The sequence below is a fragment of the Homo sapiens genome, chromosome 12 (assembly GCF_000001405.40).
Source record: "Homo sapiens chromosome 12, GRCh38.p14 Primary Assembly".
NCBI classification, from domain to species: Eukaryota; Metazoa; Chordata; class Mammalia; order Primates; family Hominidae; genus Homo; species Homo sapiens.
Genome location: NC_000012.12, coordinates 53,606,624 through 53,631,971, shown reverse-complemented (window position 1 = coordinate 53,631,971; position 25,348 = coordinate 53,606,624). Strand labels below are relative to the sequence as shown.

The 25,348-nt window shown below is 43.0% G+C and overlaps 2 protein-coding genes across 14 annotated transcripts in view, besides 1 other annotated feature; both read left to right on the top strand.

The window, feature by feature from the left end:
• Nucleotides 5,590-25,348, top strand: part of ATF7-NPFF (ATF7-NPFF readthrough) — a 119,695-nt gene continuing 99,936 nt past the window's right edge. For all 3 annotated transcript variants that reach the window (NR_159377.1, NM_001366560.1, NM_001366559.1), the window contains exon 1: nucleotides 5,590-5,693. The gene's annotated coding sequence lies outside the window, so the exon portion shown is untranslated. The remainder of the gene's footprint in view (nucleotides 5,694-25,348) is intronic.
• ATF7 (activating transcription factor 7) overlaps nucleotides 5,590-25,348 on the top strand; it is a 118,527-nt gene continuing 98,768 nt past the window's right edge. For 6 of the 11 annotated variants that reach the window (NR_073163.2, NM_001366561.2, NM_001130060.2 and 3 more), the window contains exon 1: nucleotides 5,590-5,693. The gene's annotated coding sequence lies outside the window, so the exon portion shown is untranslated. Of the gene's footprint in view, nucleotides 5,694-5,975; nucleotides 7,327-25,348 lie in introns of those variants that run through there. The other 5 variants (NM_001366556.2, NM_001366563.2, NM_001366558.2 and 2 more) reach the window with 3 other exon arrangements.
• Nucleotides 5,664-5,733: an enhancer, noted in NCBI's record as "active region_6425". NCBI's record gives its function as "activates an Ori minimal core promoter by ATAC-STARR-seq in GM12878 lymphoblastoid cells {active_cell/tissue: GM12878}" and the evidence as "EXISTENCE:reporter gene assay evidence [ECO:0000049][PMID:35858748]".

Here is a 25,348-nt window from a genome sequence, read left to right as displayed (position 1 = left end):
TGGCACTACACACATAGTATTTTCTGTTGAGATAGGATCTCACTATGTTGTCCAGGTTGAACTCCTAACCTCAAGCAATTCTCCTACCTCAGCCTCTCAAAGTGCTGGGATTACAGACATGAGTCACTGCACCTGGCCATACCACCAATTCTTCACAAACTCTTCTAAAAAAATAGAAGAGGAGGTTGGGTGCAGTGGCTCATGCTTGTAATCCCAGCACTTTGGGAGGCTGAGGTGTGGGGATCACTTGAGCCCAGGAGTTAGAGACCAGCCTGGGCAACATGGCAAGACCATGTCTCTACTAAAAATACATAACATTAGCCCGGCATGTTGGCACGCACCTGTAGTCCCAGCTATTTGGGAGGCTGAGGTGGAAGAATCATCTGAGCCCAGGAAGTGAAGTCTGCTGCAGTAAGCTGAGATCGCACCACTGCACTCCAGCCTGAGTGATGGGAGTGAAACCCTATCTCCAAAAAAAAAAAAAAAAAAAAGAAGACAACATATCTCAATTCATTCTATGAGATCGGTATTACCCTGATTGGTAATCAAACCAGATAAAGACATCACAAGAAGAAAATTACAGACTAACATCTCTTATAAATATAGACACAAAAATCTTCAACAAAGTACTAGAAAACTTAAATCCAGCAACATGTAAAAAGATTATGCCCTATGACCAACTGAGATTTATCCCAGAAATGCAAGGTTGGTTTAACAAATGAAAATTAATCAATGTTATACACCATATTAACAGGAGACAAAAACCACATGATCATCTAAATAGACAAAACATTTGATAAAATCAAACACTCCTTCATGATAAAAACACTCAACAATCTAGGAATAGAAGGTAACTTCCTCACTTTGATTAAAGTACAGCTACCAAAAAAACAACAGCTAACAACACACTTAATAATGAAAGACTTGCCAGGTGTAATGGCTCATATGTGTAAACCCAGCACTTTGGGAGGCTGAGGTAGGAGGATCCCTTGAGGACAGGAGTTTCAGACCAGCCTGGTCAACATAGCAAGACCCCATCTCTAACTGAAAAAAGAAAGAGGCCAGGCATGGTGGCTTATATCTGTAATCCTAGCACCTTGAGAGGCCAAGGCAGGAGAGCAAAAAAAAAAAAAAAAAAATTAGCCAGGCATGGTGGCATGCACCTGTAGTCCTAGCTACTCAGGATGCTGAGGTGGGAGGATCATTTGAGCCCAGAAGTTGGAGGTTACAGTGAGCTATGATTGCACCACTCTAGCCTAAGTGACAAAGTGAGACCCGTCTCAAAAAAGAAAATAAAAAATATGAGTAAGTTTAACAAGAGAAACACAAGATTTGTACAATGAAAACCACAAAACACAGCTTGGCACAGTGGCTTATGCCTGTAACCCTATCACGTTGGGAGGCCAAGGTGGGAGAACTGCTTGAGACCAAGAGTTTGACACCAGCCTAGGCAACAAAGCGGGACCCTGTCTCTAACTTAAAAAACAAAATAAGTCCAGGTGAGGTGGCTCACACCTGTAATCCCAGCACTTTGGGAGGCCAAGGTGGGTGGATCTAACCCCATTAGAGATGGGGTTTCACCATGTTGCCCAGGAGTTTGAGACCAGCCTGGGCAACATGGTGAAATCCCGTCTCTAAAAAAATTTAAAAATCAAAAAAATACAAAATAAAAAACAAAGTAAACCTACAAAAAATACAGTTGAAAGACATTAAGAAGCTTTAAATAAATGTTAAGACATTCGATGTCCGTGGATTGGAATACGATATTGTTAAGATGGCAATACTCCTTGATCTACAGATTCAAGGGAATTCCTATTAAAATCCTAGATGGCTTTTTTGTGGAAATTGACAAGCTGACCCTAAAATTCATGTGGCAATGTAAGGGACCCAGTATATCCAAAGCAATCTCGAAAAAAGAGAACGAAATTGGAGGATTCATACTTCCTAATTTCAAAACTTACTACAAAGCTAAAATTATCAAGCCTTTTGATACTGGCATAAGGACAGACATATAGAAGAACGAAATAACATTGAAAGTCCAGAAGTAAACCAATATATTTAAGGTCCAATGAGTTTTGGCAAGGGTGCCAAGAGGATTGAATGAGGGAAATAATATCTTTTCCAACAAATGGTGCTGGGACAATTGTGCATGGAAAAGAACGAAATTGGACCTCTACCTCATACCATATACAAAATTATCTCATAATGAATCAAAGACCTAAATGTAGGAGCTAAAAACAACAAAATTCTTAGAAGAAAGCACACGTGTAAATCTTTATGATACTGTATTAGGCAATGGTTTATTAGATATAGATATGACACCAACAGCACAAACAAGATAAATTGGACTTTATCAAAATATAAAACTTTTGAGCTTCAGGCCGGGCGCGGTGGCTCATGCCTGTAATCCCAGCACTTTGGGAGGCCGTGGTGGGCGGATCATGAGGTCAGGAGATCGAGACCATCCTAGCTAACACGGTGAAACCCCGTCTCTACTAAAAATACAAAAAAATTAGCTGGGCGTGGTGGCGTGTGCCTGTAGTCCCAGCTACTCCGGAGGCTGAGGCAGGAGAATGGCATGAACCCGGAAGGTGGAGCTTGCAGTGAGCCGAGATTGCGTTACCGCACTCCAGCCTGGGCAACTCAAAAAAAAAAAAAAAACTTTTGAGCTTCAAAGGACACTATCAGAAAGTGAAAAGACAACTAACCTGCAGAATGAGATAAAATATCTGCAAATCATATATCTGATAAGCATCTAGTATCTAGAATATATAAAGAATTCTTATAACTCAACAATAAAGAGGCCGGGCCTCTTTACATGCCTGTAATCCCAACACTTTGAGGGGCCAAGGTGGGAGGATCACTGGAGTCCAGGAGTTTAAGACCAGCCTGACCTAGTGTCTACAGACATTTTTTTTTTTTTGAGTCACAGTCTCACTCTGTCACCCAGGCTGGAGTGCAATGGCATGATCTCAGCTCACTGCAACCTCCGCCTCCCGGGTTCAAGCAATTCTCCTGCCTCAGCCTCCCAAGTAGCTGGGATTACAGATGCCCACCACCATACCCAGCGAATTTTTGTATTTTTAGTAGAGACAGGATTGCCATGTTGGCCAAGCTGGTCTTGAACTCCTGACCTCGTGGTCCACCTGCCTCAGCCTCCCAAAGTGCTGGGATTACAGGTGTGAGCCACCGCACCCGGCCTGGAAAATTTTAAAAAATCATCTGGACATGGTAGCATGTACCTGTAGTCCTGGCTACTTGGGGTGCTGAGTTGGGAGGATTGCTTGAGTCTGGGAGGTCGAGGATGCAGTCAGCAGTGATCATGCCACTGCACTCCAACCTGGGCAACAAAGGGAGACCCTGCCAAAAAAAAAAAAAAAAAAAGGCCGGGCGCAGTGGCTCATGCCTGTAATCCCAGCTCTTTGGGAGGCCAAGCCGGGCAGATCACAAGGTCAAGAGATTGAGACCATCCTGGCCAACATGGTGAAACCCCGTCTCTACTAAAAATACAAAAATTTGCTGGGTGTGGTGGCGTGCGCCTGTAGTCCCAGCTACTCGGGAGGCTGAGGCAGGGGAATCGCTTGAACCCAGGAGGTGGAGGTTGCAGTGAGCTGAGATCGTGCCACTGCACTCCAGCCTGGTGACAGATCAAGACTCCGTCTCAAAAAACAAAAACAAACAAACAAACAAAAAACATCAATTTAGAATAGTACCTGGAACATAGTAAAATCTATAAATATTAGCTATTGCATGTATACAGCGATAGCCAATTGTTCCACCACGATTTGTAGAATCCTTTTCCCTCTGATTTTATTTTTATTTATTTATTTATTTATTTATTTATTTATTTATTTTGACACGGAGTTTCGCTGTTGTTGCCCAGGCTGGAGTGCAATGGCGGGATCTTGGCTCACTGCAACCTCCGCTTTCCAGGTTCAAGTGATTCTCTTGCCTCGGCCTCCTGAGTAGCTGGGATTTACAGGCGTGAGCCACTGCGCCCGGCCAACATACAAATTTTTCTTATATATTTAAGGTATGTTTCCATCACTGTATTCTTTTAAGTAGGAATTGTTTTAGGGGAGAATAGTTTGGAAGCCAAGACTCCTCTCAACTTTTCTCAATTCACTACATAAGAAAGAAAGATTTTACATCTGTTTCATTTTAGGTATCTAGGGAGAAATCACCCAGATTCTTCCTACCTCTCAGAGGGTGCTGTGAGGATAGATGAGATGCTAGACAGAAAGTTCAGAAAGCTGAGTAACATAAAGCTGCAAAAGGAGAGAACAGAGATTCCATAGATAATATTTTAAGTCAACTACAATTCGTTAAATTTTAAGAAAATTATTTATTTTATTTATTTATCGAGACAGGGTTTCACTCTGTTGTCCAGGCTGGAGTGCAGTGGCCTGATGTGGGCTCACTGCCACCTCAACCTCCTGGGCTCAAGCGATCTTCCCACTTAGCCCCCCGAATAGCTACTACAGGTGCAGGCCACCATGCCCGGCTAATTTTATATTTTTTCGTAGAGCTGAGTTTTCGCCATGTTGCCCAGGCTGGTCTCAAATTCCTGGGCTCAGGCGATCCTCTTGCCTCGGCCTAGCAGTGTTGGGATTACAGACGTGAGCCACTGCACCCAGCCTGTTTTTTGTTTTTCTTTTTTCTTTTCCTGGTTTGTCTTGAACAAGACATATAAATGTAAGACTATAGACTTTGCATTTGATATTTCCCCCGAAATCTTCCCAGGTCATAATTCAACTCCTGGTGTGTTACTTCCTCAAAGAGGTCTTCTCTCAAACACTAGGAGTAAAGCTTCTTCCCCACTCCTAGTCACCTTCTGTCTCACTATCCTGAAGCGCTTTTCACTATTTGAAATATTTGTGTTTATTGGCTTTTTAACTGTCTCCCCTTCCTCACTCAAATATAAATTCTACCTGGGTTGGTAACTCCTTAACCCCATGCTTAGAACAATGCTTTGCACGGGGGGTATAGCTCAGGGATAGAGCATTCGACTGCAGAACAATGCTTTGCATGTAGTATGCCCTACGTTTTGTGAAAATATTTGCTGAATAATATAGTGATTTTAAAAAATCCCCAAGCAGTTTCATGTATCTCATTTGATCATTACAACTATTTGAATAAAATGAGATTGTTAGTCCCATTGTACAGAGACTCAGAGAAGGTTTTCACCCAAGGCAATAGGGCTAGTAAAATGGTAGTGTTAGAATTGCTGTGCGGGTGGATTGCTTTGTCCGTACATGGACTTCATTTCTAGCGCTAAGGGTATTTTAAATTACTTTGCCGTTAAGGAAGCGATGACTCTGAAAGATAGTAGTAACCACCACTACAGGCACCTGTAAAGATCCTCTCTCCTTTTTCCTTTCTTTCTCCCGCTAGATTCTGCAGCCGAACACGTGTGACCTGTGTGGACAGTACTCGCTCAGTCTCCCTCCCCAGCCCTGCCCACAGTAAGCCCGGCCCCTTCTTTTCCCGGAGCCCCCGCCTCTCGGCCGCTTTCCAACTCAGCCCCCACGGATCTCGCCCTTCCCCCGCGGACCCATGACTTCTCGCGAGAGTTGAGCGCGCCTGGCCGGACGGGAGGAAAGTATCCGTTCCGCCAAGGGGGGAAAGGAGGAGCTGGAGACAGATTGTAGGACCGAGCGCGGGCAGGCGGGAGGCAACGGAGCTACCAGCCGGTAAGTCCTTTTAACATTAGCTAGTCCATGATCTGACGGGAGTCTCCCTTTCAACTCTGGCCAGTCCCAGCGTTCCAGGCTGGGGTCTCCCCTCCCAGTCTGTGTTGGACGGGGGCGCTGAGGCGGTGGCCGGGCCCTGTCTGAGGAAGAGGGTGGGGCATAGGCCAAAGCCGACCAATGGGAGAGAAGGAAGCCTCGATTGGCGGCGATGAGCGCTAATGGGAGATCGCTTTTACGTTGCCGAGCGCCGCCCTTCTCTCCCTACTCCCGCCTCCTTCCTTTGGGGGGAAGGCGGGGCCAGAGGCTTGAAGTGTGGGGAGAACTTGGTGTAAGTAGCCCCGGGGGGCACAGGGCGTGGCAAGGAGAGGGGAATTGAATCCTGAGGGAAGGGTAGTCTAGTGGAGCCTAATGGAAGGATCATGGGATGGGGTGGAATGGGAGAAAGAGGAGGGATACTAAACTAAGTTAGAAACCCAGGGCTTCCCAAAGAGTGGGATTAGGAGCTTGGAATTGGAAAAGGGTAATAGGAAGGAGGTAGGAATGAGTAGATGAGAACAAAGATCTTGATCTGGTGACACAACACCCCGTTGGGTTTGGCAGAAAAGATAGATGGGGTGGATTATTGGAAATGAGGGTCATGGCATTTTGATTGAATTAATTAAAAGAACATCAGGGACATGATATCAGAGAGAAAGTATGGATTTGGAGAAAATTAAGTGAATTAATTTAAGAGGACAGTATGGGTGAGCTGAGTCGCCATAAGGCATGGCTTCTGGAAGGATATGAGCCTTGAGAGCGATAAGAGGTGTTTGGGAAGGAGATGGCTGATATACACATGTCTTTAGCCTAGGTATCAGGTGGTTGGGATATTGATTTAGGGCTTCTGGTGGATATGGCACCCAGACTGGTGACCAGCCTCCAAGATGCTGGGATGGGGGTTGAGAAGGAGAAAAATAGAACGCTTTCATCGCTTCTCTGATTTTCCTTCTCCCTCTCTTCTATTACCCAAACTCTTCCCAGACACCAGGATGTGGTCTTGGGACTTAAGCAGTCCAAGTTGGAGCCCCATAGGGACTTAATATGTTGCTCTGAATTGCTTGTTATGTTCTCTGACTGGGGTGTTTACAACCCAGGGCACCTCCTACCCAGATTCCCGCGTTGCTACTTTCCTAACTTTAAAAGTTTGTTTTCTGCTTAACAGAGGGTGTTTTAGTATCTCTGAGGGTCATGTCATATTAAGTACAGGTGTGTAGGGGGTGTGCAGAGTTTTCTCAGCAAGCTCACATGAGTCCTGTGTTTAAAAATTTTGCAGTAGTGTAATTCTTGTAGCGATATCAGTCTTTATGGGCATTCTAAGCAGAAATATACTAAAATGAAGTTTGTTTTGTTAAATGTGGCTTCCCCAGTCATTCTCGAAGAGTTGTCGAATGGGTGGTTGCAGTTTGTTTTAGTTAACTTACATAATGTGTTTTTAAATAGTGTAAATAAAATAGACATGTTATTTCAGGAAAGTGAAAAATGTTCAGTTTTTTCCTTTGTGTCCAGACTCAGAAACTAAAGCTATGTCATAATATCTTAGGCCAAGGGCTGGGGAAATCAAACACAATTTGTACTTACACATGGAAGTTGTAAGGTAAGTGGAGGCTCTTGCGAAATGTAACATGTCTGTAAGAAAAGAAGCTAAAGAAAAGTTTGCAAGCTCTGCTAAGTAGTCTTACCAGTTCTTAATTCTGTACAGAAAAGGGACAGGGCTTTGCCCTTTGTTTGATAGTTGTGTATCATTTAATAACGAATTGGACTAATATAGCCAATTAATAACTTCTTTGCTCTTGCGTAGATTTTGCTTTTACATTCCTTCTCTTCTCCTTTTACTTTTGAGAAGGGAAATAATGTCTGAAATATCAGTAAAGCTATTACATGAAGAGAAACCAGAGTACGTAGTTGTATTAACCTTTGGTTTTCTGCAATCAGCTGAAGCCTTTCTCCCTGGCCAAGAAGTTGCCCCTATAGCACATTGAGACCAATTCATTGCTGACCCGTTAGCATTAACTACTGAGCTGGGTTCTAGTATTTCACAGTAAGTGCATTGCTATTGGACATTCAGAACATTTCCAGTTTGCCTGGCAGCAGTACAGAAAATTACCCAGTGAGAGAGCAGAGTCCCTTGTTTTGGTCTTCTGCCCTAGAATTGGTGATTGCTTTGACTAGGGCACTATTAAACCCAAGATTTTTTTTTTCTCACTAGTGCTACCATCTAGCAGAAAGCTAGAGTGATAACACTGCTCATCTTTCAACTTGTGGATCAAAGTTTACACCCTGTGGTAGTTTCAGTGTTGTAATTTTTAAACACGTTTGTTTACCACGGTTTTAAAATGTTAATAGCTCTACTTACTGTATCTTGTTCTCTTTCCTTTCCTCATTTCCAACCCAAAATGAAAATTGTTTTTTCAACCAACTCTTAAACTACTTCTTTGCCTGGAGTAAAGTCACTGGCTCTGTCTGAACACAGCTGCTCTGAAGTTCTCAGAAGTTATTGTTTTGTGCATGTCAAGACCGAGTTTTTCCTAGGCTACAGTGGGAGGGAGTTAGTGTTACAGCAGCCTCCTATCCACGTCTGATAAGGAGGAGCCTTCTCCTTGCAAGGAAGTTTTAGGTGGAACAGATAGAACTCCACGTAAATGTCTAATAAAGCTAGCTCTTTTCTTGAGACTAGTTAGCATACTGGTATATAATTGTCCCTTATCCCTTAATAAAAGTACTAAAGTTAAGGTACAGGTGTTTCTTTGAGAAAAACAAATGCAGCATTCATTTAAAAGGAAAAAGCATTCATTTCTTTTGTTGTTGGTTTCTCAGAAAATGGTCCTACGATTTTGGAGTTCATGAAAAAGTCTTCTGTCTCTTTAAAAATATGTCAAAGAAAATAATTTTTAAGCTTCTCTGACATTTACTCATTTTGACATGTTGCCTTCCCCTAAGGTTTTTTTAGGAGGGATCAAATAAATTTATGATATGTGAAAACACATCAGAGTTGGTATGATGTGTTAAAAGACGGTTGGTCTTTTGACTTTTGAATACTCTAAGGAGAAAGTCTCCACTTCACAGATACCCTGTTCCATTATTGGAGCTTTACTTTTAGAACATTTTTTACATTGTGCTGAAGCTCTTTAGCTCTGTTATCTGAAGCCACAATAAATAAATCTAGTTCCTTGTTAACATGGTAGTCTTCAAGTATTTCATGACACTTATCGCTTTCATTCTTTTAGAGACAGGGTCTCGCTATGTTGCCCAGGCTAGAGTGCAAGTGACGTGATCACAGATCATTGTAACCTCGAACTCCTAGGCTAAAGTTATCTTCTAGTCCTAGCTTCCTGAGTAACTAGGACTCTTGGCCTCAAGCAGTCCTCCCAGCCTCCAAGTAGCTGGGACCACAGGCGCATGCCAACATGCCTGGCTAATTTTTAAATTTTTTGTAGAGATTGGGTCTCCCTGCATTGCCCAGGCTCTTCTGGAATTCCTAGGCTCAAGCCATCTCCCCACCTTGGTCTCTCAAAGTGCTGGGATTACAGGAGGCATCTCTTCTGGGGTAAATACCCCAAGTTCTTTAAGCTATTTTTTTTTTTTTTTTTGAGACGCAATTTCGCACTTTTGCCCTGGCTGGAGTGCAGAGTCTCGCGCTTTTGCCCTGGCTGGAGTGCAGTGGCACAATCTCAGCTCACTGCAAGCCCCGCCTCCCAGGTTCACGCCATTCTCCTGCCTCAACCTCCCGAGTAGCTGGGACTAGCAGGCGCCCGCCACCATGCCTGACTAATTTTTTGTATTTTTAGTAGAGACGGAGTTTCACCGTGTTAGCCAGGATGGTCTCAATATCCTGACCACGTGATCTGCCCTCCTCGGCCTCTCAAAGTGCTGGGATTACAGGTGTGAGCCACCACGCCCGGCCAGCTATTTCTATTATTATTATTATTATTATTATTTTTGAGATGGAGTCTTGCTGTGTTTCCCAGACTGGAGTGCAGTGGTGCGATCTCAGCTCACTACAACCTCCAACTTCCGGTTTCAAGCGATTCTTGTCCCTTAGCCTCCTGAGTAGCTGGGAGTACAGGTGCCCGCCATCCATGCCTAGCTAATTTTTGTATTTTTAGTAGAGACGGGGTTTCACCATTTTGGCCAGGCTGGTCTTGAACTCTTGACCTCAAGTGATCCGCCTACCTCGGCCTCCCAAAGTGCTGGAATTACAGGCATGAGCCACTGAGCCCAGCCCGTACGATTTCTTAAGTGACATTTTAAATAAAAGATCAGGCTCTTCATCAAGTTAGTTACCTGAGTGGTTTATGGTTCCTCATCTAGGTCTGAACATCTCAGATATAATCTAATAAATACAAACTACGGGGGGAATCACAACTTCTATTTTATTGCACTCTATGCCTCTGTTTTTAAAGCCTAAGATCACATTAGTTTGTGTAGTTGATTTTTTTTTTTTTTTTTTTTTTGAGACAGAGTCTTGCTCTGTCACCCAGGCTGGAATACAGTGGCTCGATCTTGTTTCACTGCAACCTCCGCCTCCCGGGTTCAAGCGATTCTCCTGCCTCAGCCACCAGAGTAGTTGGGATTACAGGCCTGCACCACCACACCCAACTAATTTTTTTTTTTTGTATTTTTAGAAGAGACGGGGTTTCACCATGTTGGCTAGGCTGGTCCCGAACTCCTGACTTTAAGTGATCCACCCACCTTGAACTCCCAAAGTGCTAGGATTACAGGCGTGAGCCACCGCGCCGGCCATGTAGTTGATTTTTTGACAACTTTACATTTATCCCTGTAATTATCATTTTGTTAATTTGGTTTGTTGTTTTAGCTTGATAATGTCATTTCACCTCTTGACCATTTCTCATATGTTTGTATTATTGATAAATTTGATAAACATGATACCTGTGTTTTTGTTTTAGGTCACTGGTAAACATGTATAAGGGTAGAACAATGCTATACAACATGAGTAGACTATCATTATGTTAACATTAACCTGTTAGTCAACTTTTGGATAAAATTCAGTTGTGAATCCCACCTGCCATTTTATATAATCTAACCTTTATTTTCTATGAAATAGCAAGAGGTATCTTGTTGAAATCCAAATGCAGTATATTCTGCCTCTGACATCTCTGAACTCCTAGGCTAGTGACCCTGTCAAAAAAGAAAATGAAGTTGCATATTAGTTGCTGTTTGGGTATCTTATGCTACTGTTTATAGATCACTGCATAACTTGCCAGTGGTTCATAAGTGATCTGTTTAATAATTCATTTAGAATCTTTCTGAGAAATAATATTTCACTAGTCTACGATTTCTGTACTCGACCTCCCTTGCCCCACATTTTAAAAAATTATAATTTTCCCATTTCCAAGACTTCTAGTCCTGTTTTTTTTTCATTTTCAAATAATTATAGAAAATTAACCATATTTCTTCATAGTTGCAGGGATTTTTTGTTGTTATTTTGTTACTGTCTTTTGGTTGTGGTTTTTTTCTTTTTCTTTTTTTTTTTGAGACGAAGTCTCGCTGTGTTCCCCAGGCTAGAGTGCAGTGGCAGGCTTACTGCAACCTCTGCCGCCCAGGTTCAAGCAATTCTCAGGCCTTAGCTTCCCAAGTAGCTGGGATTACAGGCATGTGCCACCACACCTGGCTAATTTTTGTATTTTTTTTTTTTTTTTTTTTTTTGAGACGGAGTCTCGCTCTGTCGCCCAGGCTGGAGTGCAGTGGCGGGATCTCGGCTCACTGCAAGCTCCGCCTCCCGGGTTCACGCCATTCTCCTGCCTCAGCCTCCCAAGTAGCTGGGACTACAGGCGCCCGCCACTACGCCCGGCTAATTTTTTGTATTTTTAGTAGAGACGGGGTTTCACCGTTTTAGCCAGGATGGTCTCGATCTCCTGACCTCGTGATCCGCCCGCCTCGGCCTCCCAAAGTGCTGGGATTACAGGCGTGAGCCACCGCGCCCGGCCTAATTTTTGTATTTTTTTAGTAGATATGGGTTTTCATCATGTTGGCCAGGCTGGTCTTGAACTCCTGACCTCAAGTGATCCACCTACCTCGGCCTCCCAAAGTGCTAGGATTACAGGCGTGAGCCACCGTGCTCGGCCATGGTTTTTTTTTGAGACAGGGTCTTACTCTGTTGCCCAGACTGGAGTACAGTGGCACAATCATGGCTCATACTGCAGCTTCAGTCTCCCAGGCTCAAGCCATCCTCCTACCTCAGCCTCCTGAGTAGCTGAGACTAAAGGCTCATGCCACCATGCCTGGCTAATTTTGTTTATTTTTTGTAGAGGTCTCATCATGTTTCCCAGGCTGGTCTCGAACTGCTGGGCTCAAACAGTCCTCCTGCCTTAGCCTCCCAAAGTGCTGAGATTACACGCATGAGCTACTGTGCCTGGCCAGATTTTTTGACATTAGATGAAATTCTGTTTCGGAAACTTTTTTTTTTTTCTGAGGCAGGGTCTCCCTCTGTCTCCCAGGCTGGAGTGCAATGGCGCCATCTTGGCTCACTGCAGTCTCTGCCTCCTGGGCTCAAGTGATTATCCTGCCTCCGCCTCCTGAGTAGCTAGGACTACAGATGTGCGCCACCGTGCCCATCTAATTTTTGTATTTTTTGTAGAGACAGAGTTTCCCATGTTGCCTAGGCTGGTCTTGAATTCCTAAGTTCAGGTGATCTGCCTGCTTTGGCCTCCCAAAGTGCTGGAATTACAGGCTGGGCCCCCATGCCCAGCTTGTTTTGGAAACTCTTCTTTTTTTTTTCTTTTTTTTTTTTTTTTTGACACGGAGTCTCGCTCTGTCTCCCAGGATGCAGTGCAGTGGTGTAATCTCAGCTCACTGCAACTTCTGCCTCCTGGGTTCAAGGAGTTCTCCCCCTCAGCCTCCCAAGTAGCTGGGACTGCAGGCACATGCCACCACGCCTGGCTAATTTTTGTATTTTTAGTAGAGACGTGGTTTCACCATGTTGCAGGCTGGTCTCAAACTCCTGGCCTCAGTTGATGCGCCCACCTGGGCCTCCCAAAGTGCTGGGCTTACAGTGTGAGCCACCTGCCCTTGGAAACTCTTTTAGGAAAAAAACTTTATTCCCTGGACATTTCAACTTAGAAATGAAAGAATTAAACTACTCTCTGAAAACAATTTTATGTAGTTTCCCTGTAATGTTGACATCTCCAATTTAGACCTAACTTTTCATTTTCTTCTTTTTTTTTTTTTTTGGAGACAGAGTCTTGCTATGTCAGCCAGGCTGGAGTGCAGTGGTGCAGTCTTGGCTCACTGCAACCTCTGCCTCCCAGGTTCAAGCAATTCTCATGCCTCAGCCTCCCAAGTAGCTGGGACTACAGGTGCCCACCACTGCGCCCGGCTAACTTTTTGTGTTTTAGTAGAGATGGGGTTTCACCATGTTGCTCAGGGTGGTCTCGAACGCCTGAGCTCAGGCAATCCACCTACCTCAGCGTCCCAAAGTGCTGGGATTACAGGCAAGAACCATCGCGTCCGACCCTAACTTTTCATTTTCTGTTTGGAATAAAAACCTATACCAACTATAAACACACACACACACACACAATTGCCATTTATAATTGTAGTTTATTGGCAAGGATGGTCTAAGTTTGCCAGGTCTAAGTGTTGTAGGTGAAGGGTGCTACAAATGAGATACAACTTCAGAAGACATCTCTAGGGACTAAAGACTTTACATTGGCAGGCAGCAACTTTTCCTGCTTGTTAATTTTAGACCTGACAGTTGAATTTATGTTTGAGCAATTTTAGCTGATAAATGCATTTTTTAAGTACCTTCCTCTTTTGGCATTTTAATTTTTACTTTCGTTTTTAAAAAATTGCAAATCGTGAATGAATGTGCATATTAAATTAGCATGCTACTAGGCAGGGAAACAATGCATTTTCTTTTGATACCTTCTCATCCATCTGATAGCATTAGTTATGAATTCTCCTGGAAAGCAGAAGGATGGACTCGATAACCCCTCAAGGTTCTTTTCAGGCCAGAACTTTCATAAATAGAAGTTAAGATCAAGGAACTTACTCTTGAAGAATCAGGAAGAAAAATAGACTGTAAAGAAAATAAAATTGAAATGTTTCTGTCGACCCAGTGGGAATGGATAAACACAAGTAAGGAACATAAATGACGAGAAATAATAACTCCTTTGAGCTAAAAACAAAACAAAAATCAACAACAACAAATATTTTGCATTGGAGTCATTTTATATCTTAAAAATATTTTATCATGACATTTTCTCTTCGACATTTCCCTTGTGGACACTTTGTGTTGAAAGAATGTTGGGTTTTGTTCCTGTTAAATCATAGTATTTTGTTTCCTTCCTTTCTCTTGTTTGTCCTTTTGTTTAAAAACTTTTTTTTTTTTTTTGGTCTTCTGTATAATGGACTGACTGCCTGTTTACAATGAGGCAAGATTCAATTCAATTTTGAAAGTATTTGCTATATCACTTCCTCGGAAATGAAGGATGAGTGTTACAATTCAGGAAAGGTTGTATGAAAAGATAAACTTGTATAAAAAGATAAGCTTTTAAAATTTTGTAGGCAAACATTTAACGAAGGTTCCCAACCAAAGCAAAGGTGAGTTAGTATAGTAGTCTTTTTTTTATTATTATTTAAAAAAATTTTTTTTGAGACATAGTCTTGCTCTGTCACCCAGGCTGGAGTGCAGTGGCACAATCTTGGCTCACTGCAGCCTCCGGCTTCTGATTACAAGCAATTCTTCTGCCTCAGCCTCCCGAGTAGCTGGGATTACAGTTGCCTGCCACTATGCTTGGCTAATTTTTGTATTTTTAGTAGAGACGGGGTTTCAACCATGTTGGCCAGGCTGCTCTCGCACCCGTGACCTCAAATGATCCACCCACCTTGACCTCCCCAAGTGCTGGGATTACAGGTGTGAGCCACTGTGCCTGGCCTAGTATAGTAGTTTTAAGAAGGACATAATACATAAGCATTGGTTGGGCACAGTAGTTCACACCTATAATCCTAGCACTTTGGGAGGCTTGGGCCCAGGAGTTCGAGACCAGCCTGGGCAACATGACAAAACCCTGTCTCTATAAAAAATACAAAAATTAGCTGAGTGTGGTGACATGCGTTTGTAGCGCCAGCTACTTGGGAGGCTGAAGCGGGAGGATTGCTTCAGCTCAGGAAGCAGAGTTTGCAGCCAGCCCAGGTTGCAGCACTGCACTCCAGCCTGGGCAACAAAGTGATACCCTGTCTCAAAGAAAGAAATAATACATAAGTTTACAGTAAAACTCATTACAAACCCTTGACTTCAGGTTGTTAGCTTTTTCTCACCTTTTTTTTTTTTTTTTTGGAGACAGAGTCGTTCTCTGTTGCCTAGGCTGGAGTACAGTGGCATGGTCTCGGCTCACTGCAATCTCCGCCTCCCAGGTTCAAGCAGTTCTCCTGCCTCAGCCTCCTGAGTAGCTGGGATTACAGGCACACGCTGCTACACCTGGCTAATTTTTTAGGTATCTTAGTAGAGATGGGGTTTCACTGTGTTGCCCAGGCTGGTCTCGAACTCCTGAGCTCAGGCAATCCACCCGCCTCAGCCTTCCAAAGTGCTGGGATTACAGGAATGAGCCACCGCACCCGGCCACGCCTTTTCTCATCTTTTGGCAATTTTAATCCTCAGTGTTCCCATACATTTGAAACCAGAATGTGCATAAAGTTTCTTTTTTTCTTTTCAATATTGTATCTCTTCTTAATAAATATCATGAAAGTCTATGAAAGTGTAGGTTGGGTGAGTTGGCCCACACATGTAATCCCAACACTTTGGGAGGCTGAGGTGGGCAGATTGCTTGAGCTTGGAGTTCGAGACCAGCCTGAGCAACACAGGGAGACCCCATCTCTACAAAAAATTTTAAAATTAGCTGGGCTTGGTGGTGCACGCCTTTAGTCCTAGCTACTTGGGAGGCCAACGCGGGAGGATTACTTGAGCCTGGGAGGCGGGGGTTTCAGTGAGCTGACATCACGCCACTGCACTCTAGCCTGGGTAACAGAGTGAGACCCTGGCTCAAAAAAACCCAAAAGTAAACTAACGGGAGCCAAGATTTAGCTTAGAAAGTCATTTCATGAGCTTGTGGCATGGACATCTGTGGTCACATGTTTTGCCACAGCCCCACCTTCTCACAAAACCCAGCTTGCTTCCTTTGAGTGGAATTCCTTACTGTTTTCTCCTGATCTGATAGATTGCTTCTTTTTGCTGTAGTAGACGAGGAATGTTTGTGTGCTAAACCGGTCAATTTTTGGGGAGGGCTTAAAATTACCATGCAGTAAGAAAAAAACATTTTGTCAGATTGAAAAATAGGGCACAACCATTCTTTTTGAAATAGGAATATGCCTGACTCATTATTATTATCATTATTTTTAGAGATGGGTCTGGGTTTGTCACCCAGGCTGGAATGCAGTGGCGTGATCATAACTCACTGGCAGCCTTGAACTCCTGAGCTCAAGTGATCCTCCAGTCCTCCTGCCTCAGCCTCCCAAGTAGCTGGGACTACAGACGCACACCCCCTCACTTCCGATCCAGCCAATCTTTAATTATTTTGCAGAGAAAGGATTTTGCTCTCTTGCCCAGGGATCTAAAACTCCTGGGCTCAAGGGATCCTTCTGCCTCAGCTTCCCAAAATGTTGGGATTACTGGTGTGAGCCATCGCATCCAGCCCCTAACTATATTATAAAATCAGGATGATTTGTTGAATGTGACGTAATTACTGTAAATGAATCATGTTGGTACCAAGTTTCTTGCCAGTAATATTTAAGTTTTATCAAACTTGAATAACACCTTGTTGGTTTTATTTAACATCATATTTCTGGTACCAACATGACTCCTGTAGCAGCATTTTCTTTTTTATTTTTCTTTTCTTTTTTTTGAGACAGAGTCTCGCTCTGTCACCCAGGCTGGAGTGCAGTGGCACGAGCTCGGCTCACTGCAAGCTTCGCCTCCCGGGTTCATGCCATTCTTCTGCCTCAGCCTCCCGAGTAGCTGGGACTACAGGCGCCCGCCACCATGCCTGGCCAATTTTTTTGTATTTTTAGTAGAGACGGGGTTTCACCATATTAGCCAGGATGGTCTCAATCTCCTGACCTTGTGATCCGCCCGCCTCGGTCTTCCAAAGTGTTGAGATTACAGGCGTGAGCCACCGCACCCAGCTCTTTTTTTTTTTCTTTTCTTTTGAGATGGCGTCTTGCCGTGTTGCCCAGGCTAGAGTGCAGTGGCATGATTTCTGCTTACCACAACCTCTGCCTCCTGGGTTCAAGTGATTCTCCTGCCTCAGCTTCCTGAGTAGCTGAGATTATAGGCATCTGCCACCATGCCTGGCTAATTTTGTATTTTTAGTAGAGACAGGGTTTCACCATGCTGGCCAAGCTGGTCTTGAACTCCGGACCTCAGGCGATCCGCCTGCCTTGGCCTCCCAAAGTGCTGGGATTACAGGCATGAGCCACCACGCCCAGCCAACACCATTTTCTTTAACTTATTTTTTGAAGTTTTGGTCAATAGTAGTTTGGTAATACTTTACACTTACATGTTTAGGACTGGTGAGAGTGAATTGGCGAGCATTGGAATAACCCCAAATAGATCACTGTTGAAAATATGTGGACAGACTTAGGAAATAAATATTTTTTCCTGAGAACTTCTAAGTGTCTCAGTGATTGTCATTGTGGGATAGTGCAGCTATTTCCTATCCAGAACCAATCTTATACTTTAATATTAAAGCCTGTCAGGTTTTTTGTTCTTTGCAGCCTGTTTAAGATTTTAAATTGGTCCTTTAAATTAAAAGGTAATTTTAAAAGATCAGTGTTTTGGGGTTGATTACTTTTGGCTTATTGTTTTGAGGATCATACTTTATCTGAAAATGGCAGAACAAACTAAAATTTTTTGTTTAGTTTTTGTTCAGCATCCTATTGGTTTCCAGGAGTTTTTCAACTTCTAAAATGCACACTGAGGCCAAACATAGATAAATACAATGTTCTCCAGTTATTTCTAACTTTGCTTCCTGCTGTCACTTTAGCAAGTTGTTGCTTCTTTGTTTTTGCTTTATTAACCTTTCTGGGGATAGCTCAAAATAGTCCTGGAATCCTCTGAAAGCCTAGAAAGCCTTAAAAAAAAACTTCAAGTAGTTGCCTGTATGAAGCTGCTTCCAGGTAGGTTCCTAAGCTTTGGCTATGTGTTGCCTAACTTATGATTCAGCCTAATTCTCACTCTCATCTGTTTTCAGTCATTTGCTGCAAAACTATTTGGTCTATTTAAGCTGGCTCCTTTCTTTGAAGCCAGTTTCTGCATGTCTGAGCTTGAAATCCAGAAATTAATTTCAGCCTTCTGTTTGATCAATCTAGGGCCCTCTACTGCTTGTGTATTTCTTAAAGCAGTGGATCTCAAACTTTTTGGTCTCGGAATTCACCCCATAATACTTTTAAAAATTATTGAGGGCCAGGCCTAGTGGCTCACACCTGTAATTCCAGCACTTTGGGGGGTTGAGGTGGGGGTGGGGGGATTGCTTGAGTCCAGGAGTTTGAGACTAGCCTGGGTAATATAGTGAGACCTTGTCTTTACAAAAATTTTAAAAATTACCCGAGCTTGTTGGTGCACTCCTGTAGTCCCAGCTACTCAGGAGGCTTAGGTAGGAGGATCACTTGAGCCAGGGAGACAGAGGTTGCAATGAGCTGAGATTGTGCCACTGCACTCCAGCTTGGGCAACAGAGTAAGACCCTGTCTCAGAAAAAATAAAATAAAATAATAATTGAGGACTCCAAAGAGCATTTGTTTATCTGGGTTATATCTGTTGATATTTAGCATATTAGCAATTATGAGATAAGTTTTTAAAATATTTATTAATTTACTTTAAAATAACAAACCCATTACATGTTAACATAAATAACTATTTTGTTTAAAAAGAATTTGGGGGAAGAACTTCAGATCTCTTTAATGTCTGGCTAACCAGAAAAAAGCTGGATTCTCATATCTGCTTCTGCATTCAATCTGTTAAGATATGTCATTTTAAGTATTTGAAGAAAATGATGTAATGGGAAAAGAAAGGATTATTTTCAGGTAATTGTATATAGTCTTCTTTGATACTACAGCAAAATCTGAAAAGTGATAGTTTCATAAAGGTTAGCTGTGGTATAGAATTTGAAACCACATCTGTGAACTTTTTAGTACTGCTATGTTAAAATGCATTGGCTCAGGATAAATAGCTATCATTGGGAAATTTTTTAAAAATGCATTGGCCTCACTTGCCTTTTTTTTTTCTTGAGACAGAGTCTCGCTCTGTCGTCCAGGCTGGAGTGCAGTGCTGTGAGGTTGGCTCACTGCAACCTCTGCCTCCCAGGTTCAAGCGATTTTTGTGCCTCAGCCTCCCGAGTAGCAGGGACTACAGGTGCGCGCTACCATGCCCAACTAATTTTTGTATTTTTAGTAGAGACAGGGTTTCACAGTGATGGCCAAGCTGGTCTCGAACTCCTGGCTGCAGGTGATCTGCCCACCTCAGCCTCCCAAAGTGCTGGGATTACAGGCGAGAGCTACTGCGCCCAGCCAGCCACCTTGCCCAGCCTAACTTACTGTTTAAATAGATCTTTTACTCATGAATGATTTAACCTTCATGAACCCCCTGAAAGATCTGTAGGGATCCCTGGAGCCCACTTTGAGAACTGTAGTCTTAGAGCACCAACCTTGAAAAATGCAGCTGTTGGGCAAGGTGGCTCACTCCTGTAATCCCAGCACTTTGGGAGGCTGAAGCGGGTGGATCACGAGGTCAGGAGATTGAGACCATTCTGGCCAATGTGGTGAAACCCCATGTCTACTAAAAATACAAAAATTAGCCGGGCGTGATGGCACACGCCTGTAGTCCCAGCTACTCAGGAGAATCGCTTGAACCCGGGAGGTGGAAGTTGCAGTGAGACGAGATCGAGCCACTGCACTCCAGCCTGGGTGACAGAGAAAGACTCCATCTTAAAAAAGAAAAGAAAAAGAAAAATGCAGCTGCCAGGCACGGTGGCTCATGCCTGTAATTCCAGCACTTTAGGAGGTCAAGGCAGGAGGATCACTTGAGGTCAGGAGTTCGAGACCAGCCTAGCCACTATGGTGAAACCCCGTCTCTACTAAAAATACAAAAATTAGCTGTGTGTGGTGGTGCGAGCCCGTAGCCCCAGGTGCTCGGGAGGCTGAGGTGGGAGAATCGCTGGAACCCAGGAGGTGGAGGTGGCAATGAGCTGAGATGGTGCCACTGCACTCCAGCCTGGGTGACAGAGCGAGACTCCTTCTCAAAAAATAAGAACAAAAATGCAGCTGTTTTCCTATAATTTTCACATATCACAACATATTCTTTCCGATTTTTTTTCAACCGTTGAAAAAATGTAAAAACTGGCTGAAAGTGGTGGCTCATGTCTGTAATACCAGCAGTTTAGGAGGCTGAGGTGGGCAGATCACTTGAGGCCAGGAGTTTGAGACCAGCCTGGCCAACACAGTGAAAACCTGTCTCTACTAAAAATTGAAAAACAATTAGCTGGTCATGGTGGCACATGCCTGTAATCTCAGCTATTCAGGAGGCTGAGGAATGAGAATTGCTTGAACCCAGGAGGCAGAGGTTGCAGTGAGCCAAGATCCCGTTACTGCACTCTAACCTGGGCAACAGAGTGAGACTCTGTCTCAAAAAGAAAAGAAAAGAAAAATGTAAAAACTACTCTTAGCTTGTGGGCCATATAAAAATAGGTGATAGGCTGAATTTTGCCCATGAGTTGAAGTTTGCTAACTCATCATATATACTATTACTGGATTAAGAATTTTGTTTGTTTGTTTGTTTGTTTTGCGATAGAGTCTCGCTCTGTCACCAGGCTGGAGTGCAGTGGCGTGATCTCGGCCCACTGCAACCTCCAACTCCCTGGTTTGAGCGATTCTCCTGCCTCAGCCTCCGGAGCACGTGCCACCATGCCCAGCTAATTTTTGTATTTTTGGTAGAGACGGGGTTTCACCATTTTGGCCAGGAGTGTCTCGATCTCCTGACCTCGTAATCTGCCCACCTTGGCCTCCCAAAATGCCGGGATTACAGGTGTGAGCCACCACACCCAGCCTGGATAATGAATTTTAAAATAATTACAATAAAACATGCTTAATGTTAAAAATGTGAATATTAGCTGGGTACAATGGCTCACCCTTGTAATCCCAGAACTTTGGGAGGCCAAGGCAGGAGGATCGCTTGAGCCCAGGAATTTTGAGACCAGCCTGGGCTACATGGCAAGACCCCCTGTCTCTACAAAAAAAAAAAATGAGCTGGGCATGGTGGTGTGCACCTATAGTCCCAGCTACTCAAGAGGCCGAGACAGGAGGATCACTTGAACTAGGAGGTCGAGGCTGTAGTGAACTGTGATCATGCCACTGTACTCCAGCCTGGGTGACAGCGAGACCTTGTCTCAAACAAACAAGAAAACTCACCATAAAAAACAAACTATGAGCATCACTTAATTTTCCTAAATAAAATGATACCCCAGAACATGTAGCCCCTCAAATTCATGTTTCGGGACATTTATTTATATAATAAGCATATGTAACATGTTTATATATAATAAGCATATATAACAGTACCTGTTACGCTCTGAAGTGTTGGTAAAACATGATTCAGTTGTAAGTAGACAACTTTTTAGAGGTTGTAAATAGATGTGGTGTCCATTCTTGTACCTTTTTTTTTTTTTTTTTTTGAGACAGAGTCTCACTCTATTGCCCAGGCTGGAGTGCAGTGGTGTGATCTCAGCTCACTGCAACCTCCGCCTTCTGGGTTCAAGTGATTCTCCCACCTCACCCTCCCAAGTAGCTGGGATTACAGGTGCCTGCCATGACACCCGGCTAATTTTTGTATTTTTAGTAGAGATAGGGTTTCACCATGTTAGCCAGACTGGTCTTCAACGTCTGGCCTGAAGGGATCCACCTGCCTCGTCGTCCCAAAGTGCTGGGATTACAGGTGTGAGCCACTGCACCTGGCCCATTTTTGTATCTCGTTTGGAATGTATGAGAACAGGTAACTAGGATCAGACTGACCTTAACCCCTTGACCTTTTTTGTCTATATATATTTTGTAACTCTCTGCCTCAGTTTTCCAGTCTGTTAGCAAGTGCTTTACAAAACACTAATATAAAACAATAAGGCTAAAATCCGGGCACGGTGGCTCACGCCTGTAATCCCAGCACTTTGGGAGGCCGAGGCGGGCGGATCACTTGAGGTCAGGAGTTCGAAACCAGCCTGGCTAACATGGTGAAACCCCGTCTCTACTAAAAATACAAAAATTAGCCGGGCGTGGTGGTGCGTGCCTATAGTCCCAGCTACTCAAGAGGCTGAGGCATGAGAATCTGTTGAACCCAGGAGGCAAAGGTTGCAGTAAGCCAAGATCACACCACTGCACTCCAGCCTGGGCGACAGAGCAAGACCCTGTCTAAAAAAAAAAAAAAGCATAACATTTAAAACAATAAGGCTAATTAGTTTAAGATTATAGTGGTACATATATGCTTTCAGCATATCCTTTTGGGACATTTGATTTAGTATTGAGATAATATATGCTAAACTATTATTATGCTAAATAATTCAATGGAAAATTAATCCAGAATTTATGAACTTTTTTTTTTTTTTTTAAGAGTCCCAGTCTATCACCCAGGCTGGAGTGCCGTGGTGTGATCATAGCTCACTACCACCTTGAACTCTTGGGCTCAAGGGATCCTCTCATCTCGGTCTCCCGAGCTCCCGAGTAGCTGGAACTACAGGCACACACCACTGTGCATGGCTAATTTTTTTTTTTTTTTTTTAAGAAACAGGGTCTCGTGGCCAGGCGGAGTGGCTCATGCCTATAATCCCAGCACTTTGGGAGGCTGAGGCGGGCAGATCACCTGAGGTCGGGAGTTGGAGACCAGTCTGACCAACATGGAGAAACCCCGTCTCTACTAAAAATACAAAATTAGCTGCATGTGGTGGCGCATGCCTGTAATCCCAGCTACTTGGGAGGCTGAGGCAGGAGAATCGCTTGAACCTGGAAGGCAGAGGTTGTGGTGAGCTGAGAACACACCATTGGACTCCAGCCTGGGCAACAAGAGCAGAACCCTGTCTCAAAAAAAAAAAAAAGGAAAAAAGAGAAAGAAAAGAAACAGGCTCTTGCTTTGTTGGCTAGACTGGTCTTGAACTCCGGACCTCAAGCTGTCCTCTGACCTCAGCCTCCTAAAGTGTTGGGATTACAGGTGTGAGCCATGGCACCTGGCCTATGAAGAGAAATTTTAATACCTAAATAATCTACTGCCTAGTAAAACTTGAGTAGTCTACTTTGTTTTCTGGGGTTCCCATAACCTGCATTATAGTCTCACAGTTCATGTGTTAACTGGAATCTTAAGTCACTTTGCTAGATGTAATGGAAATCAGAGCAGCACTGAGTATCCTAGGGAGAATATAAAATGTTGAGACTGCTGTGGCGAAGATCTCGTATTTGTACTCTTTGCTTAATGGCAGCTAAATTATCTTAGAGTCTGAAACGTGGTAACTGAAGTTGTGTGTTTAAAAGAGAGCTGTTTGCATATAATTTTTTTATTATCATAAAGAAATAGAGCCCATAGAGCTCTGTTTGGGTACCTTTCTAAGTTTTTCAGCTAGTTTGTACTGAGCTGAAAGGTATTCGGTACCTGCTAAACTTGGTTTCAGCTCTATATTCCCTTTGTGATGCATGGTTGGGGCAATTTCTGATTGTCTGATATAAGCATAATTGTTGTTAGGAAGCATTCAAAATGGGTCCTGGAAGGTAACAAAAGGAGGAGCTATTTTGAATTGCCTGTTTTACCTTGTGTGTTTATAAACGAGTTTCCACCGTGTTTGTTTCTATATGAAACGGTTTATAACTTTAGAATTTTTTATGGTCCTTTTTGAACTTAATTTGTCACTTGGTTCTGTTTCTTTGTAGTTAGAAAATGAGTAGTTTTGTATAATTTTTAAATATACTGTTTAGTGCTTTAGAATAGGCAGATATGGACCTCTTTTTTTAAACTCAGACTTCTTTCTTTTTTTTTTTTTTTTTTTGAGACAGAGTCTTGTTCTATCACCAGGCTGGAGCGCAGTGGCACAATCTCAGCTCACTGCAACCTCTGCCTCCTGGGTTCAAGTGATTCTTCTGCCTCAGCCTCCTGGGTAGCTGGGACTACAGGCATGCACCACCACACCCAGCTAATTTTTTTGTATTTTTAGTAGAGATGGAGTTTCACCGTGTTGGCCAGGATGGTCTCGATCTCTTGACCTCGTGATCTGCCCGCCTCGGCCTCCCAGAGTGCTGGGATTACAGGAGTGAGCCACTGCGCCTGGCCAACTCAGACTTTTTTCAATCATGCATATCTGCATTCTTTTTTCTTATTAGATTACATTATAATTTTTTGATTTACTAAAAGCAATCTGTGATTATTGTAGAGACTTTGAAAAATACTAAAAGTACAAGGAAGAAAATAGAATCACCTAGGATGCCATTATCCAGAGATAACCATTATCAACATTTTGATGTTAATTCCCTTATCTTTTCTATGCTTATTATTTTGTTTGCTTTTCTGTAGATTTACAATTATGGTGCATGTACAATTTTATATTCTGTTTTTTTTTCCCATTTAACATACGGCATTTTCTCATATTTTTAGTTTTCAAAATGTTATTCTTTTATAACTTAAAGATAGTTTATTATAAGGCAGTACCTTAATTTATATTTATCCATTCTTGTTTAAATTCCTGTTCTTTTTTGGTCATAAAGATGACTGTGGTTAAACGCTCAATGCAAAAATGGTCCACATGTCTGGTTTTATCCTTAGAATAGAGAGACTGAAAGAAGAATGAAATGTTCAAAGGATATAAAACATTTTAAGACATTTAATATAAATATTGCCAAATTGACTTCCAGAAAGATCGTCTAAATATGTACTCCCAAAAGTACTATATAAAAGTGCCAGGCCATCAGAGAAATGCAAATCAAAACCACAATGAGGTACCATCTCACACCAGTTAGAATGGCAATCATTAAAAAGTTAGGAAACAACAGGTGCTGGAAAGGATGTGGAGAAATAGGAACACTTTTACACTGTTGGTGGGACTGTAAACTAGTTCAACCATTGTGGAAGTCAGTGTGGCCATTCCTCAGGGATCTAGAACTAGAAATACCATTTGACCCAGCCATCCCATTACTGGATATATACCCAAAGGATTATAAATCATGCTGCTATAAAGACACATGCACACGTATGTTTATAGCGGCACTATTCACAATAGCAAAGACTTGGAACCAACCTAAATGTCCATCAACGATAGACTGGATTAAGAAAATTTGGCACATATACACCATGGAATACTATGCAGCCATAAAAATGATGAGTTCATGTCCTTTGTAGGGACATGGATGAAACTGGAAACCATCATTCTCAGCAAACTATCGCAAAGACAAAAAACCAAACACCGCATGTTCTCACTTATAGGTGGGAATTGAACAATGAGAACACATGGACACAGGAAGGGGAACATCACACACTGGGGACTGTTGTGGGGTGGGGGGAGGGGGGAGGGATAGCATTAGGAGATATACCTAATGTAAATGACAAGTTAATGGGTGCAGCACACCAACATGGCACATGTATACATATGTA